Raw genomic sequence first — 17,319 nt, forward strand, 5'->3', positions numbered from 1 at the left:
TTACCGCAACTCCATCCGAGACTGAGGACCACATTTCAGGGCTAGCAGTCACCTCTGCGTTACTATAAATAAGTTCTGCCTTTAGGCATTTCAAAATTATCAGTATGATTCTAGGACTTGAAAACTTCTCATTTGCCAGCAAGTAGTTACCTGAAATATTTTGACTTCTTATTTATTTGCTTTTTTTTCATCTGCTGCCAAGTCTTACTAACGCAACTTGGAAAATTGCACCACAGCTTTTAATGAGGATTCTGAGGTAACAGCCATTTCATCAGAGAAGACTGTTCTTTCCTTTTAGGGGAATAATAACACCTACTGTTTCTATAGCACCATCCTTCCAAGAAGTTTAACACATCACATTTCATTTATCTGAACAGCGGCCCTGCAAGTCAAACTGGTAACTAGCATTGTTACTCCTTGTACACTCATATTGAAATTGAGGTCATTAAATGTGAACTAATTTTCTCAAAATCTTAACACCTTCTGACATGGTTAAAGAGCCATGATCCGCCTATGTTCTAGGTGATCAGATAGCCCAGAAGTCTCTTTCCGCTCTTTAGCTGTCATCTCCTGTGAATGCCTGTAAGGAAGGCCCTTTCTGAAAAGTCAGGGAAAAGTCATAAAAGTGGGAGAACTGAGCTTGTGCCTCTTCTGGAGTCCTGTGGTTCTCTCCCTTCCTGGCCAGTTTGCCTCCCATCTTTATGGCTTTTCCCTACCTCTCAATCCAAACATCCCTCCACTCTTCCTGACCAACAGGATTTTTTCTCTCTTCCTCCAACAGGAAGCTAGCCAAGTTCAAGGACTGTAAACCTGTGTGACATAGGCTAGGATCTCAGAGATCATCCAGCCCCAATCCATCATTTTCAGATTAGGATGTGACTTATTGAGTCTGGCCATTTGGTTAGTAGATCCCATCCTCTGTTGCATACTGAAGGCAATTGAACTTCTGTCTCCTGTATCATCAAGTTTTCTCTCTCTTTTGGAACTTTCCCTTCAGCCCAGGTATTAGGACAGGTTAGGCTTTGCTGTGCTAACAGATAAAACACCACATCTTGAGAGATTGTTTGGAGCTTCTAGCAGGCAGCACAGCTATGTATATACTTGTGAATGAAGAACGGTCCTCCTCTATCAGGGAAGGTCGTCCTCTTCAACCAAGCCTGCAGCTTCAGGAGGGACACACGTGGAGCAGTGAGGGAGGGAAACGACACCCACTGAGCCAGCCAGATCAGCCCAATCAACCTGGCGATGTTGGGGTGACAGATGTTGCAGCCAGATTGCCTTCACATCCAGAAACACCAAATCTTGAGTGCTTAATTAACTTAAAAGTTTATTTCTCATCATGTCAGAGTCTGATTTGAGTCAGATGGATTTTGCTGGCTCTCTTCCAACAGTGACTCAGGGACCTAGGCTACAGCTTCATCACTCTAGAGTCCTTTGACACCAGCTAAGTGGATGGGACAAAGCATAAAGAGCTTATACCTACTTTTGACTGCCTTGGAGCAGAGTCCTCACCTCACATTTCATCAGCTAGATCTAGTCATATGGCCTACCTGATTACAAATTTAGTCTTCCTGTGTGTCTAGGAAAGAGGAAAACTGGGTGTGGGTGAGCAATGGTAATCTTCACCACAGAGTACAAACATGTTGGGATTTCTTCCTACTTAAAATAAAAAACCAAATGAAACCTCTTTTGACACCGTTTCCCTCCAGCTACTGATCTACTTCTCTGTTCCCTTTCACTCAAAAAGCCTTATTCTCTCTAGAACACAATCAAATTGGTTTTTGTTTCTACTGCTCCCCCAAAAGTGCTCAACGAAATCACAAATGGCCTCCAAATTGCCGGATGGTCAGTTTTTGGCCTTCATCTTAGCTTACAGTCAGCATCATTTGACCTAGTTGATGGCTCTCTCCTCCTCGAAATGCTTTCTTCACCTGGCTTACCACGCACTATGCTTTGTTGCTTTTCCTCCCACCTCAGGCTTGCTCCTTCTTGGTCTACCTTGCCGGCTCCTCTTCATCTCCCTGACCTGTTAATTCGAGAAAGCTCCAAGGCTCAATCCTGGGACTTCTTTTCCTTTCTATCTCCACTCACTTCCTTGGTGATCGTATGTAGTCCTGTTGCTTTTAGTATTCCCAATATTCTGGTATTACAATTTTTATCTCTAGGATAGACTTCTCCCATGAGTTCTGGCCATGTAAGTCCAACTGCATACTAGACATCTTTACTTAGATGTCAACAGGCATCTCAAACTTAATATATACAAAATAGAAGGCCGGGCATGGTGGCTCACGCCTTAATCCCAGCACTTTGGGAGGCCGAAGCAAGTGGATCACTTGAGGTCAGGAGTTCGAGACCAGCCTGGCCAGCATGGCAAAATCCCGTCTCTACTGAAAATACAAAAATTAGCCAGGCGTGGTGGTGCACACCTGTAATCCCAGCTACTTGGGAGGCTGAGGCAGGAGAATTGCTTGAACCTGGGAGGTGGAGGTGGCAGCGAGCTGAGATTGTGTCACTGGACTCCAGCCTGAGCAACACAGTGAGACTCTGTCTCAAAAATTAAACAAAAAAATAAACAAAACTCCCAATTCTACCCGAGTCCCCAATCCTACTCCTCTCAGTCTTCGCTTCACCCATCTCAGTTAATGCCAACTCCATTCTTCCAATAGTTGAGGCCCTAAGCCTGGATGTTATCTGTGACTCCTCTCTTTCTCTCCCACCTTGTATCCAACATATAAGAAATTCCCATGAGCTCTACCTTCAAAATATCACCAGAATCTGACACCAACCACCATGTCACTGCTATCACCCTGGTGTAGGCCATCAGGTCACACCTGGGTTGCTGTCTTAGCCTCTTGTGTCTTTTCCCTGCTTCTGCCCTGGCCCTCTTTCAATTTATTTTCACGTGGCACTCAAAATGACCTGTGAAACTCTCCAGTGGCCAGCTCGTTCCAAAAAAAGACCAATCGCTCAGTGAGGTGCACAGTCTGGACCATCACCTCTCTGACTCACCTCTCCCCACCCTGCCTTGGCTCACTCTGCTCCTGGGTGGCAAACACGCCCTGCCCACCACAGCCTCCTTGTGATTCCTCCTGTCTGGCTCACCCTTTCCCTAGACATCAGCACAGCCAGCTCCCTCACCTGCTCCAGGTCTCTCTTCAAAAGTCACCCCCTTGAACAGGCTTTTCTTGATCACTCTTCTTAAAATTGTAATACTTGTATCCTAACTCCCTTCTCTGTTTTATTTTCCTCAATGGCATCTAACAAAGTATATTTAACACTGATTAATTTCCTCTTTTTCCTCCTCCTCCCCACTGGAATGTGAGCTAGGTTCGCCTAGCACCTAGAATGATGTCTCCTGGTTACATAGCAGGGTCTTGACAAATATTTGTTGAATGAATAAATAAATGAGTGAGGAAACAGAAGCCCAGAGAGGAAGACTAGTTTGCTGAAGACCTCACATGCAGTGATACCAAGGTGCAGAGTGTGGTTTTCCCAGCCCCTCAAGGCTGATGATCCTAGTTTAAAAAAATCTGCCCATTACTCTTTTTCAGGTAAAGAGTGGTGGTGTCTTCTTCAGAGTTTTGTTTAGGTGAATGGGGTGAGGCCAAAGGGCAGGCTCTGTGCTCTGGGCTAAGTGAGTGTTTTGCCCTTCTCATCCTGGTCATGCCACTTCCCAAAGACTTCACCCCTGTTTCCCACCAAAACTCCACCTTCCCTTGTCCTCACCCTCAGGCTCAGAATGCTGTTGTCACCCTGTGCTGTGGCGTTAACTACTTTCTGTACTATTACATACTGAAAGGGTTGCCCAAAGATAATCATGACTGTCTTATTGCTTCCTTAAGACTGAACCTAAACCATCCCAGAGACATTAACAGCTTTCATATCCTCTAAAAACTTCCAGACAAGAAGATTCCATAATTTCCTTGTTGGCATCTGTGCTTGGCAGTACTGCTGCAGGAATGTTCTTTATTGCAGCCTGTGGTTAAGACTTAACAACAAATGCCTTTTCTTTAGAATCCTTCTGGGTCAGCTTTCTTTCCTGTATAGCACTGAAAAGTGAGATTTGCCCCAAAATGTTGAGTGAGAGAGAGAAAGCAAAAGATAGTGAGCACAAGCGAGCACAAACCTGAAATCTATTTATACCGAGGAAAACATAAGGTCTACCTGCAGGGGCCATACTCACCCCCAGCCTGTAGCTGTTCCCTGCATGAACCCGTCCCCTTCTCTAGAGGGTACAAGGACACAGGAAGCAAGCCAGAGAAAGGTGGTGAGACCTTGGCAGTAACCTTTTAACAGCCACTTTTCCCCTAGCATTCTGTCAAGGAGCCAGGCAGCCACGTAAGAATAGTGTTGATGTGCAAACCCACTGTGGGCTGAGCATCTTCTAAGGAAGCACATCCCCTCCCTGTCCTCTGAACTTGACACGCCATAAGACTGAACTTCATAGTTGTGATGCTACTTCCGTCATGGCTGGCATCCAGCCCGAAATGGCCTCCATGACTATAGCTAAGGAGGTGTCATACTAATGAGCAGTGGAAGAACGGCCCTGCAATGCTTAGCACATCAACTACTTTCTCTTCATCTCTTAGCAAAACATATACTTACTCATTATAAAATTGAATGATCTGCTTTATTATGTAATGAAAGTACTAAGTACAGTGGCTTATCTCCTACTATTTGCTGACACAATTACCTGGGTGTGTTTTTCAGTGGGGAACAAACACTCAAGTCCTAGAAATCCTAGGGATTGCCATTTGTTTTTTTTTAAAAACGCAAGATAATTCAATTATTCCTTGATTTCTAGAAGGAGGCCTCCCTCTATTTTTGTCTGTCTTTCAGTTTAGAGACTATGCTGGGCTCTGTGAGTGGCTCTAATGTGCTGGTAATGGCGTGGCTCATCAGGAATTGGGATTTGGGGGTGGAATTGCACAACTGGACAGTCGCTGGACGGCAGATCTGGGTTTGGCCTAAGGTGGATGGGGAGTTGGGGGGAGGAGTGGCAGTTTGTGTTCGGAAGTTTCAGGCTCCTAGGAGGAACTCTCAGGCCTGGCTGTGCTGGCCCCCTTGAGGAGCACAGCGGTTGGCTGCCAAGGGAGTGTAGATGGGTCAAATGTGACTAAGAGGAGGGCAGGGCCAGAAGTTGATTCAAATTTGGCGATAGGATTATGATGAGGTTTAAAGATTTCCAAGGAGCTAATCTAATGGTTTTTCTTATATCCTATGAACCAAATGCCGATTAGTTCCAGAAAGCTACTTTCTAAGGTAGTATTTAGAATGTCTGCTTATTTACCACTTAATTCAAATTTTATGAAATCACTCACTGAGCTAAGTGTGACAATTACCATTGAGCCTGCAGGGACATTTCAGTGTGCACACAGCAAGTCAGGAAAACAATGCCCAGCACGTGGGTCCACAGGCAGGTGCCCTGAGCAGAGGGGGAGGGCTCTTCAAAGGAGGCCTCAGAAACAATGACAGAGCCTCAAAAGAAAATGCCACTGGGGCTGGCTTGCATGTTCCATCAACAAGATACTTAGAGCTGGATTACTGAAAGTATGAATTTGCGTTTCATAAGAAAAAAAGGATCTAGTTCTACCTGAAGATTTCAGATACGTGAGCAACCAGAATGTTTCAATGGTTTCGAGGATGTAGATGATGCAGGGATGATAATCATTTTACAGGGGGAGGAAGAAAGAAAATCAACACACAGCAAATTCTCACTTAAATGAGAACACACAGCAAATTCTCACTTAAAAGGCCAAATAGATTTTTGTGCGATGTCTATACAGTGTGCCTCTTATTTAAAATGCCTTTTCCAATGCCATGGAAATAAGCAATTATCAGGGATTTGATCTAAAAAGAAACTTTAAGGTTATGTCATATACATTTGTATCCCAGTTTCCTTTACACTTTACTGCCTTGGTATTGTATTTTTGGTAAATAATTCAAGGCAGGAGGATCCCTTGAGCTCAAGAGTTCCAGTCCAACCTGGGCAACAGAGCAAGACTCCACCTTTAAAAAGAGACTTACGTTTGTCAAATGCCTACTAGAGGATAAGGGCTGTGCTGAGAATTTTTGTATTTATCATCTCACCTAGTCCTCATGGCAGGACAGCTAGTTAAGTATGTCCCCAACAGCGCAGTTAAGGAAAGGCCAGCTCAGGATCCCCTGGCTACAGTGCAGCTGCCATTCCTCGGCCTTCCCGTTACTTGGTACCCAGTCCCCACTCCTTATCCCAGCCCCAGTATGTCATTTAGCTGATCTGTCCTTTTGCTTCTAGTGTTGGGATCTCTCTAGCTACCTACTTGCTAGTGGTATGTGGAGTGGTAATGGAGCATTCTATTTTGAGTATGTAACAAGGATACGAATGTGAAAACGCTAGTGCTTATGCAGTCCTTATTTATTTATTTATTTTTTTGAGACACGTTCTCACTCTGTCACCCAGGCTGGAGTGCACTGGTGTGATCATGGCTCACTTGCAGCCTCGATCTCCTGGGCTCAAGCAATCCTCCCTCCTCAGCCTCCTGAGTAGCTGAGACCACAGGTGTGTGCCACCACCTCTAGCTAATTTTTAAATCTTTTGTAGAGATGGGGGTCTCCCTATGTTGCCCAAGACAGTCTTGAACTCCTGAACTCAAGTGGTCTTCCCGCTTTGGCCTCCTGAAGTACCAGGATGACAGGTGTGAGCTGCTGCACCTGGCCCCAGTCCTCATTTTTATCAGCTGGTTGCCTTCCTGCTCAGCAGGGGTAATAGCAGATGTTGCTTAACAAGGGTCTGGGATTTGAAGAAACCTCCACTACCCATATCTTGTTTGTCTATCAAATAGACAAACACAAATAGTGTTTTAAAATTTTAATTATTATTATTATTTTTTTTGAGACAGGGTCTCGCCCTGTCACCCAGGCTGGAGTGCAATGGCGTGATCTCAGCTCACTGCAACCTCCGCCTCCCAGGTTCAAGCCATTCTCCTGCCTCAACCTCCTGAGTAGCTGGGATTATAGGCACACACCACCATGCCTGGCTAATATTTTGTATTTTTGGTAGAGATGGGGTTTCACCATGTTGGGCAGGCTGGCCTCAAACTCCTGACCTCATAATCTGCTCGCCTCGGCCTCCCAAGTTATTATTTTTTTAAAGATGGGGTCTTGCTATGTTGCCCAGGCTTGTCTCGAACTGCTGGGCTCAAGGGATCCTCCTGTGTCAGCCTCCTGAGTAGCTGGGGCTACAGGTGCACTCTACTGCACCTGGCTTCTTGTTTTTTGTTGAATTTAGATGCCTTTTGGTGGAGCAGGTGCTTGCCCCATCACTTCCTACTGTCCTATATACAACCTACTTCACTCATTTATATTATTTGCCAGGCCCCTGAAGGCGTCTGGTTTGTGACTTCTGTGATTTAATACTGGTTGTAACCATCAGCATCATATCTGGGTGATGGGGTCTTTGGTTTCTCCTAAGATCACTGTGAAGAGCTGCTTAGTCAAACACCACACAACTCTAGGGAATCTATTTGCAAAAACTATGGATGTGAGTTGTACTCCTGGGAGTTACAAAGTACAAAGCTTGTGTAACTGTTGGTGGTGGCCCAAGAGATGCACACCGCGCTGGTGGTACACAGGGAATGATTCTGCCCGAACACAAAGTATTATCCTTAGTCCCATAGGAATGACGGAAGTCAGGATGATGAACCAAGAGGTAGTGTATATATGGTTCAAAGGATGACCATTTAATGGTTTGCCATTGTGAAGCCCATCTTTTGGGGTCCTACAACTTAAACCATCCAATTAAATGTCATCTCTGGACAGACCAGGTCCAGCTACTAGTGTTCCCAAAGTGCCAAAATAACCGTATTCACTGATGTGATTAAGAAACCTGAGTGGGCTGTTTTCAACAACGGTGAGAAAAGCAAGTTTACACTTCTTAGAATCTTACTGAATTAATGGTGAAAATTACTAGTTGCTTTTATTTTTCCCCCAAGCAAAGAAGGTGCTGTGAATGCTTTCGATCTTTTACTCTCAAGGGAAATCTAGTGATCCTTACACCATCTGAAAGACAGAAATCATAGCAATGATTCAGATCCCACATCTAGGACTGTGCCAAACTTAGGCTGAACCACTCAAAACCTGAAGGGTAAGTGAACTAGAAACTACAAGTGACTGAGCCACAGGTGAGGTTCAGTTCCCTTCAAGAAAGATATTCACATTCTGTGCCTCTGAGACTTTAAGTGTATCAAATAGAAACTGACTATGCCACAGACCTAACATGTGACTTGGACATCAACTCCTGAGTGGGGACATGGCACCTAGTACATCTTCTAGCTCCTAGTCAGCCAGTTTTCTGTAAGTCAATAAACATTCATTAACAATCACACAAACCAAATTACTGTACCTCCTCAGGCAAGCTGACCACCAAATCATTTTTTGTCTGTCCAACCAGCGCCTGCCAAAAATATTCACTGCATGCGGCCAGCACAGCCCGGTGGGCCCGGAACTCCTTCCTCTCCACGATCAAAGTCACGTCACAGAGAATATCCTTTTTCCGCTGGTCATTGAGGCCCAGGAGGATGTTGGTGCAGTGGACTGTGGACTCATACACATACATGGGGGAGTCAGGCTTCTCATCCACAGACATGCCGTTCACACCCTGAAAGAAAGAAAGAAACAAAGAAAGAAAGAAAGAAAGGCTGAGTCACCACAGCTGTAGGATCAGAGAGAGGAGGTGAGAAAGAACATCATGGTTCCTGTGTCCCACTGCCATGAGCATGGCAGGAAGGAGGGGAATTACCAATCAGCATATTTGTGCTTACTCTGTACAATGAGCTCAGGAAACATATCTGTAAAGTCAAGTTCCACAGCTGACTTTTATGCTTCCTACTTACCGCATTCTTTTACCCCATGGTAACAAAGCCAGATCTTTTAATAGAACATTTAAAACATTTAAAACACATTGGTATTTTAAAACTTGGTGGTTCTGATTTTGTTAGTAGGCTGAAAAAGAAATTTCACATGTAAATAGCCTCTATGCAAGGACTAACTTAGATTTGTGTGAAGAGGAAATGAATCATTTTGAAGTATTTGTAATGTTGTCTTGATGAAGTATATGTAAGTTCCTAAGGTGAAATTTGGCTGAGATGCCAAGTAGAGTAAACATCAAATCACAATACATATTTAACAAGTGAACCAAACTGTCTGCACACTGAAGACTCAGTAGAGTCAGCTATTGCATCTGCCCTCTGCCACTTCAAGGCAAAGCACAATTGCCATAATGCAATAGTTGCTCAGCTCTTAGAAAGATGTGGAATTGTGCTGTCGTTATCCCAGCTGAATTGATGTACATCCCCTTTAAGGAAACACAATATATCACAATAGCAGTCATGAAAAAAGATGCATTCAACAGTCAAGATTACTTTTACAAAAGGTTCTTTGCTTTAAAAAATATCCATTGAAATATTTCTTTTTCTTTTTTTTGAGAGGGAGTTTTGTTCTTGTCGCCCAGGCTGAAGTGCAATGGTGCGATTCTCAGCTCACTGCAACCTCCACCTCCTGGGTTCAAGTGATTCTCCTGCCTCCGCTTCCCAAGTAGCTGGGATTACAGGCATGTGCCACCGTGCCTAACTAATTTTTGTATTTTTAGTACAGACGGGATTTCACCATCTTGGCCAGGCTGGTTTTGAACTCCTGACCTCAGGTGATCCACCCGCCTCGGCCTCCCAAAGTGCTGGGATTACAGGCGTGAGCCACTGTGCCTGGCCCCGCTGAGGTATTTTAAAATACAGTATCTGTAATTAATTTATATAGTTACATAGTTTTTCTGTAATGTTTGCTAGAGTAGTAAGAATTCCAGTAGCGAGTCCTACTTTCTTTTTGGCTTTCTTATTTTTTTAAAACAGCTTTAACATACAATAAACTGTACATATTTATAGTGAGCAATTTGATGTTTTGATTGTGTATGTAACTGTGAAACCATCATCACAATAAAGATAGTAAACAAATCCATCATCACCAAAAGTCTCCTTAAGGCCCTTGTAATAATTTTTCCCTTGTACCTCTCTGTACCCCACCGCTACAACGACTGATCAGCTTTCTGACATTCTATATTAGCTTGCATTTTCTAGAGTTTCATATAAATGGAATCATAAACTACATATTCTTTTATATCTGGCTTCTTCTATTCAGCATAATTATTTCACCATTCATCCATGTTGCTGCATATATCAAGTTTGTTCCTTTATTACTTAGCATCCTATTGTATAAATATAGCGTAACTTTTTTTTTATCCATTCATCTATTAGTGGATATTTGGGTTGTTTCCAGTATTTATTTACAAATAAAGCTGCTGTGAACATTCACATACAATTCTTTGGATGGACATATGCTTTCACTTCTCTTGGGTAAATACCTGTGAGTAGAATGTATTATATGGTATGTGTAAGCATAACTTTTAAAGAGTCTGCCACTGTTTTCTAAAGTGGCTGTAACATTTTACATTTCCACCAGCAGTGTATGAGTTCCAGTTCCTTCACATCCTTGCCAACATTTGGTATGGTCACTCTTTCTAGTTTTGGACATTGTAATAGGTCTATCATATTTCTTTTTGGGTTTAATTTGCTTTCTCTAATGCCTGAAGTTGTTGAGAATCTTCCATGTGTTTATTTGACCTCTGTATATTTTCTTTGAAGAAATGTCTATTTAGATTCTTTGCCCATTTTTAATTGGGTTGTTTTCTTATTTTTCAGTTTTAAGAGTTCTTCATATATTCTGAATAAAAGTCCTTTATCAGATACATGACTTGTAAAAATTTTTTCCCAGTCTGTAGCTTGTCTTTTGATTCTCTTAAAAGTGTCTTTCAAGGAACAGAAAGTCTTTATTTGATGAAGCCAAAAAACCATCTTGGTGTCACATCTAAAAAACTAAACCAAGGTCATAAAGATTTTCTCTTGTTTTCTGCTAGAAGTGTTATTTTTTTAGCCCTTACATTTAGGTCTATGGCCCATTTTGAGTTAATTTTTGTGTAGGTAACAGGTATGGATTGAGGTTCTTTTTTTCCTTTTGCATAGGAATATCCAATCATTCCCGCAGCATTGTTAAAAATACTCTTTTCTCTCCTGAATTACCTTTGTATTTTTACTGAAAATCAGTTGTTTTTACATGTATGAATCTATTTATGGACTCTGTCTTTTACTATTTTTATGTTTGTCTACTTTTGTTTTTTTTGGAGACAAACCTTGCTTATTTGTACTTTTACTGAAAATCAGTTGTTTTTACATTTATGAATCTATTTATGGACTCTGTCTTTTACTATTTTTATGTTTGTCTACTTTTGTTTTGTTTTGTTTTGGAGACAGGGTATCACTTTGGAGTGCAGTGGCATGGCCATAGCTCACAGCAGTAGCTGGCACTACAGGTGTGCATCACCGTATCTGGCTAATTTAAAAATATTTTTTGTATTCCTGTAATCCCAGCACTTTGGGAGGCTGAGGCAGGCAGGTTACGAGGTCAGGAGTTCGAGACCAGCCTGGCCAACACAGCGAAACTGCGTCTTTACTAAAAATACAAAAATTAGCTGGGTGTGGTGGTACGTGCCTGTAATCCCAGCTACTTGGGAGGCGGAGACAGGAGAATCGCTTGAACCCAGAAGGCGGAGGTTGCAGTGGCCGAGATCACACCACTGCACTCCAGCCTGGGTGACACAGCAAGACTCTGTCTCAAAAAAAAAAATATGTGTGTGTGTGTGTGTGTGTGTGTGTGTGTGTGTGTGTGTGTATGAGTGATGAGGTCTCGCCATATTGCCCAGGCTAGTCTCAAACTCCTGGCGTCAAGTGATCCTCCTACCTCAGCCTCCTAAAGTGCTGGGATTACAGATGTGAGCCACTGTACCCAGCCTCTATATCTACTTTTATGTTACTATCATAGTGTCTTGATTTGCTCTTTTTCAAAGTTAGTTTGATCCTTTGCATTTCCATATACATTTTATAATCAGCTTGCCAATTTCTACAAAATAGTCTGCTGGAATTTTCACTGAGATTGTACTGAATCTACTGATGAATTTAGGAAGAACTGCCATCTTAACAATAATGAATCTTCTGACCCATGAACACAGTCTCTTTATTTAGATCATCTTGAATTTTTCTCAGCAGCCGGGCATGGTGGCTTACGCCTGTAATCACAAGACTTTGGGAGGCTGAGGCAGGTGGATAACTTGAGGTAAGGAGTGTGAGACCAGCCTGGCCAACATGCTGAAACCCCATCTCTACTAAAAACGCAAAAATTAGCCAGGCATGGTAGCGTGTGCCTGTAATCCCAGCTACTTGGGAGGCTGAGGCAGGAGATTGTGTGAACCCAGCAGGAAGAGGTTGCAGTGAGCTGAGATTGCGCCACTGCACTCTAGCCTGGGCGACAGAGCAAGACTCCACCTCAAAAAAAAAAAAAAGAAAATTTTTTTCTCAGCAATATTTTAATTGAAAATTTTTTTTGGAGACAGTCTCACTCTGTCACCCAGATGGAGTGCAGTGGTGCGATCTTGGCTCACTGCAACCTCCACCTCCTGGGTTCAAGTGATTCTCCTGCCTCAGCCTCCGGAGTAGCTGGAATTAAAGAGGCATGTGCCACCGTGCTTGGTCAATTTTTGTATTTTTAGTAGAGACGGGTTTTGCCAGGTTGGCCAGACTGGTCTCGAACTCTTGGTCTCTCCTCGGCCTCCCAAAGTGCTGGGATTACAGGTGTGAACCACCACACTGGGCCCTCAGCAACGTTTTATGGTAGTATATAGGTCTTTTATACCTCTTTTGTCAGATTTATACCTAAGTATGAATATTTTTGATGCCATTGTAAATGGCAGTCTTTTAATTTCAATTTCTAATTTTTCACTGCTAGTATATACATACAAATAATTTTTGTATTTTGATCTTGTATCTGGAAACCTTGCTTATTAGTTCTCATAGCCTGTTTTTTCTTGGTAGATTCCACGGTATTTTCTACATAGAAGATTATGTTGTCTGTGAATAAAGATCTCTTACTTTTTTTCCAATTTGGATAATTTTAATGTCTTTTTCTTACCTTACTGCATTGTCTAGAAGCTCTAGTTCAATGCTGAATAGAGGTGATGAGACTAAATATCCTTGCTTTCCTGATGTTAGGAAGAAAGTATTCAACCATTCACCATTTTGTATGACGTTAGCTATAGATGCTTCATAGGTGCTCCTTTTGAGCTGAGGAAGTTTTATTTCTTTCTCTCCCTCTCTCCTCCCCTTCCTTCCCTCCCCTCCCCTCCCCTTGTTTTCCCTTTCTTTTTCTTTTTCTTTTTTTTTTTTTTGAGATGGAGTCTCGCTCTGTCGCCCAGGCTGGAGTGCAGTGGCGCGATCTCGGCTCACTGCAAGCTCTGCCTCCTGGGTTCACGCCATTCTCCTGCCTCAGCCTCCCAAGTAGCTGGGACTACAGGTGCCCGCCACCATGCCAGGCTAATTTTTTTTGTATTTTTAGTAGAGACAGGGTTTCACCATGTTAGCCAGGATGGTCTTGATCTCCTGACTTTGTGATCCCCCCGCCTTGGCCTCTGAAAGTGCTGGGATTATAGGTGTGAGTCACTGTGCCCGGCCTCTTTTTCTATCTTTCTTTCTTTTTCTTCAGTGGCACTCATGGCTCACTGCAACCTTGAATTCCTGGGCTCAAGCAATCTCCTGCCTCTGCCTCCTGAGTAGCTAGGACTACAGGTGTGCACCACCATACCTGGCTAATTATTTCTTATTTTTTTTTGTAGAGATGAGGCCTTGCTATGTTGCCCAGGCTGCTCTTGAATTCCTGGCCTCAAGCAATCCTCGTACCTTGGTCTCTCAAAGTGTTGGGATTACAGGTGTAAGCCACTGTGCCCAGCCCTGTGTTTGCCTTCTTATACATTGTTGGATTCAATTTGCTAACATTTTGTTAATAATTTTTCATCTATGTTCAATACGGAGATTTGTCTGTAGTTTTCTTACATAGTTTTTCTGGCCTGGTTTTAGCATCAGGGTAATGATGATCTCATAAAATGAGCTGGGAAGTATTTCTTCTTCTTTAATTTTCTAAAAGCTTTTTTTTTTTTTTCTTTTTGTAGAATTGGTTTTATTTCTTCCTTAAATGTTTGGTAGAATGTACCTGTGAAGACTTCTGAGCTGGGATAGTCTTTAACTATAAATTCATTTTTTTAAATTGTCAAATTTATTGGCATAAAATTGTGTGTGTGTGTGTGTGTGTATATATATATATATATATATATATATATTTTTTTTTTTTTTTTTTTTTTTTTAGACAGATTCTTGCTCTGTTGCCAGGTTGGAGTGCAGTGGTGCAATCTTGGCTCACTGCAAACTCCACCTCCTGGATTCACAAGTGATTCTCCTGCCTCAGCCTCCCGAGTAGCTGGGACTACAGGTGTGCGCTACCATGCCCAGCTAATTTTTGTATTTTTAGTAGAGACGGGTTTCACCACGTTGGCCAGGATGGTCTCAATCTCTTGACCTCATGATCCACCCGCCTTGGCCTCGCAAAGTCTTGGGATTACAGGCGTCAGCTACCGCCCCTGGCCTTTTTATTTTTTTTATTTTTTAAAGAGACAGTGTCTCACTTTGTTGCCCTGGCTGGAGTGCAGTGGCGTGATCATAGCTAACTGCAACCTCAAACTCCTGGGGCTCATGTGACCTTCCTGTCTCAGGCTCCTGAGTAACTAGGACTATAGGCCGTGCCACCATGTTCAGCTATTTTTTTTTTTTTTTTGTAAGAGATGGAGTCTTACTATGATACCCAGGCTGGTCTTCAACTCTTGGTGTCAAGTGATTCTCCTGCTTTGGCCCCCACAAAGCACTGGGATTACAGGCGTGAGCCACCACACCCAGCCCATATATAGTTTTTAAAAATATTCCTTCTAATATGGGTTGAATCTGTACTGATGCCACCTCTCATATTACTGATACTGAAAATTTGTGTCTTCTCTTTCTGATCAGTCTGGCTAGAGGCTTAACCATTTTACTGACATTCTCAAATAACTAGTTTTTGGTTAGTTTTTTTAAATTATTCTATTTTCTAGTTTGCTGATCTCTATTCTCATTGTTATATCCTTTATTTTGCTTACTTTGGGTTTAATTGGGTCTTTTTTTCTTTTCCAGTTTCCTAAGGTGGTAGTTGAGCCCACTAATCTGAGATCTTTTTTGTCTTTTCTAACACAGGCTTTAATGCTATAAATTTCACTCTGTTTTAGCAGTATCTTGCAAATTTTGAAATGTTTAATTTTTACTCAATTCTTAATGCTTTAAAATTTCCCTTTTGATTTATTCCTTAATGCACAAATGATTTACACACGTGTTTTTTGGCTTCCAAATATTTGGGGGAGTTTTTAGTTATCTTTTTGTTAATCCTCTCTGATTTAATTCCATTGTGGTCACAGAACAAACTTCATATGACTTTAATCCTTTTAAATTTATGGAGACTTGTTTTGGGTCCCAGAATGTGACCCACCTTGGTAAATACTACATAAGCACTTGAAATGTATATTCTGTTGTTGGCTGGAATGTCCTGTAAATATCAATTAGGTTAAGTTGTATGATGAGTGTTGTTCAAGTCTTCTAATATCTTTTCTGATCTTTTGTCTATAGGTTCCGTCATGTATTGAGAAGGAGTACTAAAACTTTCCGGCTACAATTGTAGGCTTGTCTGTCAGTTATTGTAATTCTATTAGTTTCTGCCTCATGCAGTTTGAAATCCTATTAGATGCATATATATTTAGGGTTTTTATTTTTTCTTGTAGTATTTATTCCTTTATCACTATGAAGTCACCTTTTAATTCCTGGAAATATTCTTTGCTCTGAAATCTACTTTGTCTCATATTAACATGGTCACTCCATCTTTTGTTTGGTGTTAGCACAGTATATCTTTTTCTACTCTTATTCTTTTAACCTTTTTGTGTTTTTATATTTAAAATGTGATTCTTGTAAGTAACATATAATTGGGTCTTGCTTTTTAAAAAAATCTAATCTGAAAACGTCTGAGTTTTAATTCTGGTGTTTAAAACATGTATGTTTAATGTGACAATTGATTTGGCTAGGTTTAGATCTGCCATTTTGCTACTTGTTTTCTATTTGTTCTTTATTCTCTTTTCCTTCATCTTCTGACTCTCTGTGTTAACTATTTTTTTATGATTCAATTTCATTTCAATTATTGGCATGTTGTTTTGTTATTTCATTGGTTGTTTTAGGATTTATAATATGCTTCTTTAAGTTATCACAATCTGCCTTCCAGTGATATCATAATATGCTTCTTTAAGTTATCACAATCTACCTTCCAGTGATATCATACCATGTCGTGTAAAGCACAGTAGTATGCTTCCATTTCTCCCTTCCTGGCCATTGTATTATACATTTTACTTGTTACTTGTTAAAACCCCTGTACTATATTGTCATTACTTTTGTTTAGTCAATTACCTTTTAAAAAGATATAAATAATGAGGTAACATTACTTGCAGTGCAGGTATACTAGTGATAAATTATTTCAACTTTTCTCTGTAAAAGCCTGCTGCCTTCATTTTTGAAAGTTATCTTTGAAGGGTATAGATTCCAGGTTGACAGGTGTTTTTTTTTTTTCTTTTCAGTACTTTGAAAATTGTCATTCCACTGTCTTTTCACCTGCATTGTTTCCAGTGAAAAATCTGTCATCCTCATCTTTGTTCCTCTGTATGTAATGTCTTTTCTTCTCCTCTGTTGCCTTTAGGACTTTTTCTTGATCACTTGTTTTGAGCAATTTGATTATGATGTGCCTTTGTGTAGTTTTCCTCATGTTTCTTGAGCTTCTTGGATACGTGGATAGTTTTAACCAAATTTGGAAAAATTTTGGCCATCATTTTTTCAAATATTTTTGCCACAATTTTTTTGTCTTCTCCCCTCTTCTCCCTTGGGGAGTTACATATAATATTAGACCATCTGCATTTGTCCCGTCGCTCACAAATGCCCATTTTTTTTTTCTTTTGGTACTTTAAAGAAATCTCTTACATTTTACATTGGATAGTTTCTTTTCTTTTCTTTTTTTTGAGGTGGAGTTCAGTGGTGTGACTTTGGCTCACTGCAACCACTGTCTCCTGGGTTCGAGTGATTCTCCTGCTTCAGCCTCCCAAGTAGCAGGGATTACAGGTGTGTGCCACCATACCCAGCTAATTTTTTTGTATTTTTAGTATAGACAGGGTTTCACCATGTTGGCCAAGCTGGTCTTGAACTCCTGACCTCAAATAATCTGCGCACCTCGGCCTCCCAAAATGCTGGGATCACAGGCTTGAGTCATCATGCCTAGCCACATTGGTTATTTTCT

General features: G+C 41.5%; 1 protein-coding gene and 1 pseudogene across 2 annotated transcripts in view; both read right to left on the reverse strand.

Annotated features, from left to right (window-relative positions):
- The window catches only part of BACH2 (BACH transcriptional regulator 2), a 370,316-nt gene that overhangs the window by 73,691 nt on the left and 279,306 nt on the right, over positions 1–17,319 (reverse strand). For both annotated transcript variants that reach the window (NM_001170794.2, NM_021813.4), the window contains one exon: positions 8,384–8,638. In NM_001170794.2, the coding sequence (NP_001164265.1) occupies positions 8,384–8,626 (243 nt within the window). In that variant the 5' untranslated portion in view covers positions 8,627–8,638. The remainder of the gene's footprint in view (positions 1–8,383; positions 8,639–17,319) is intronic.
- RN7SKP110 (RN7SK pseudogene 110) lies at positions 1,004–1,288 on the reverse strand (annotated as a pseudogene).

Source organism: Homo sapiens, chromosome 6 (genome assembly GCF_000001405.40).
Source record: "Homo sapiens chromosome 6, GRCh38.p14 Primary Assembly".
NCBI lineage: Eukaryota > Metazoa > Chordata > Mammalia > Primates > Hominidae > Homo > Homo sapiens.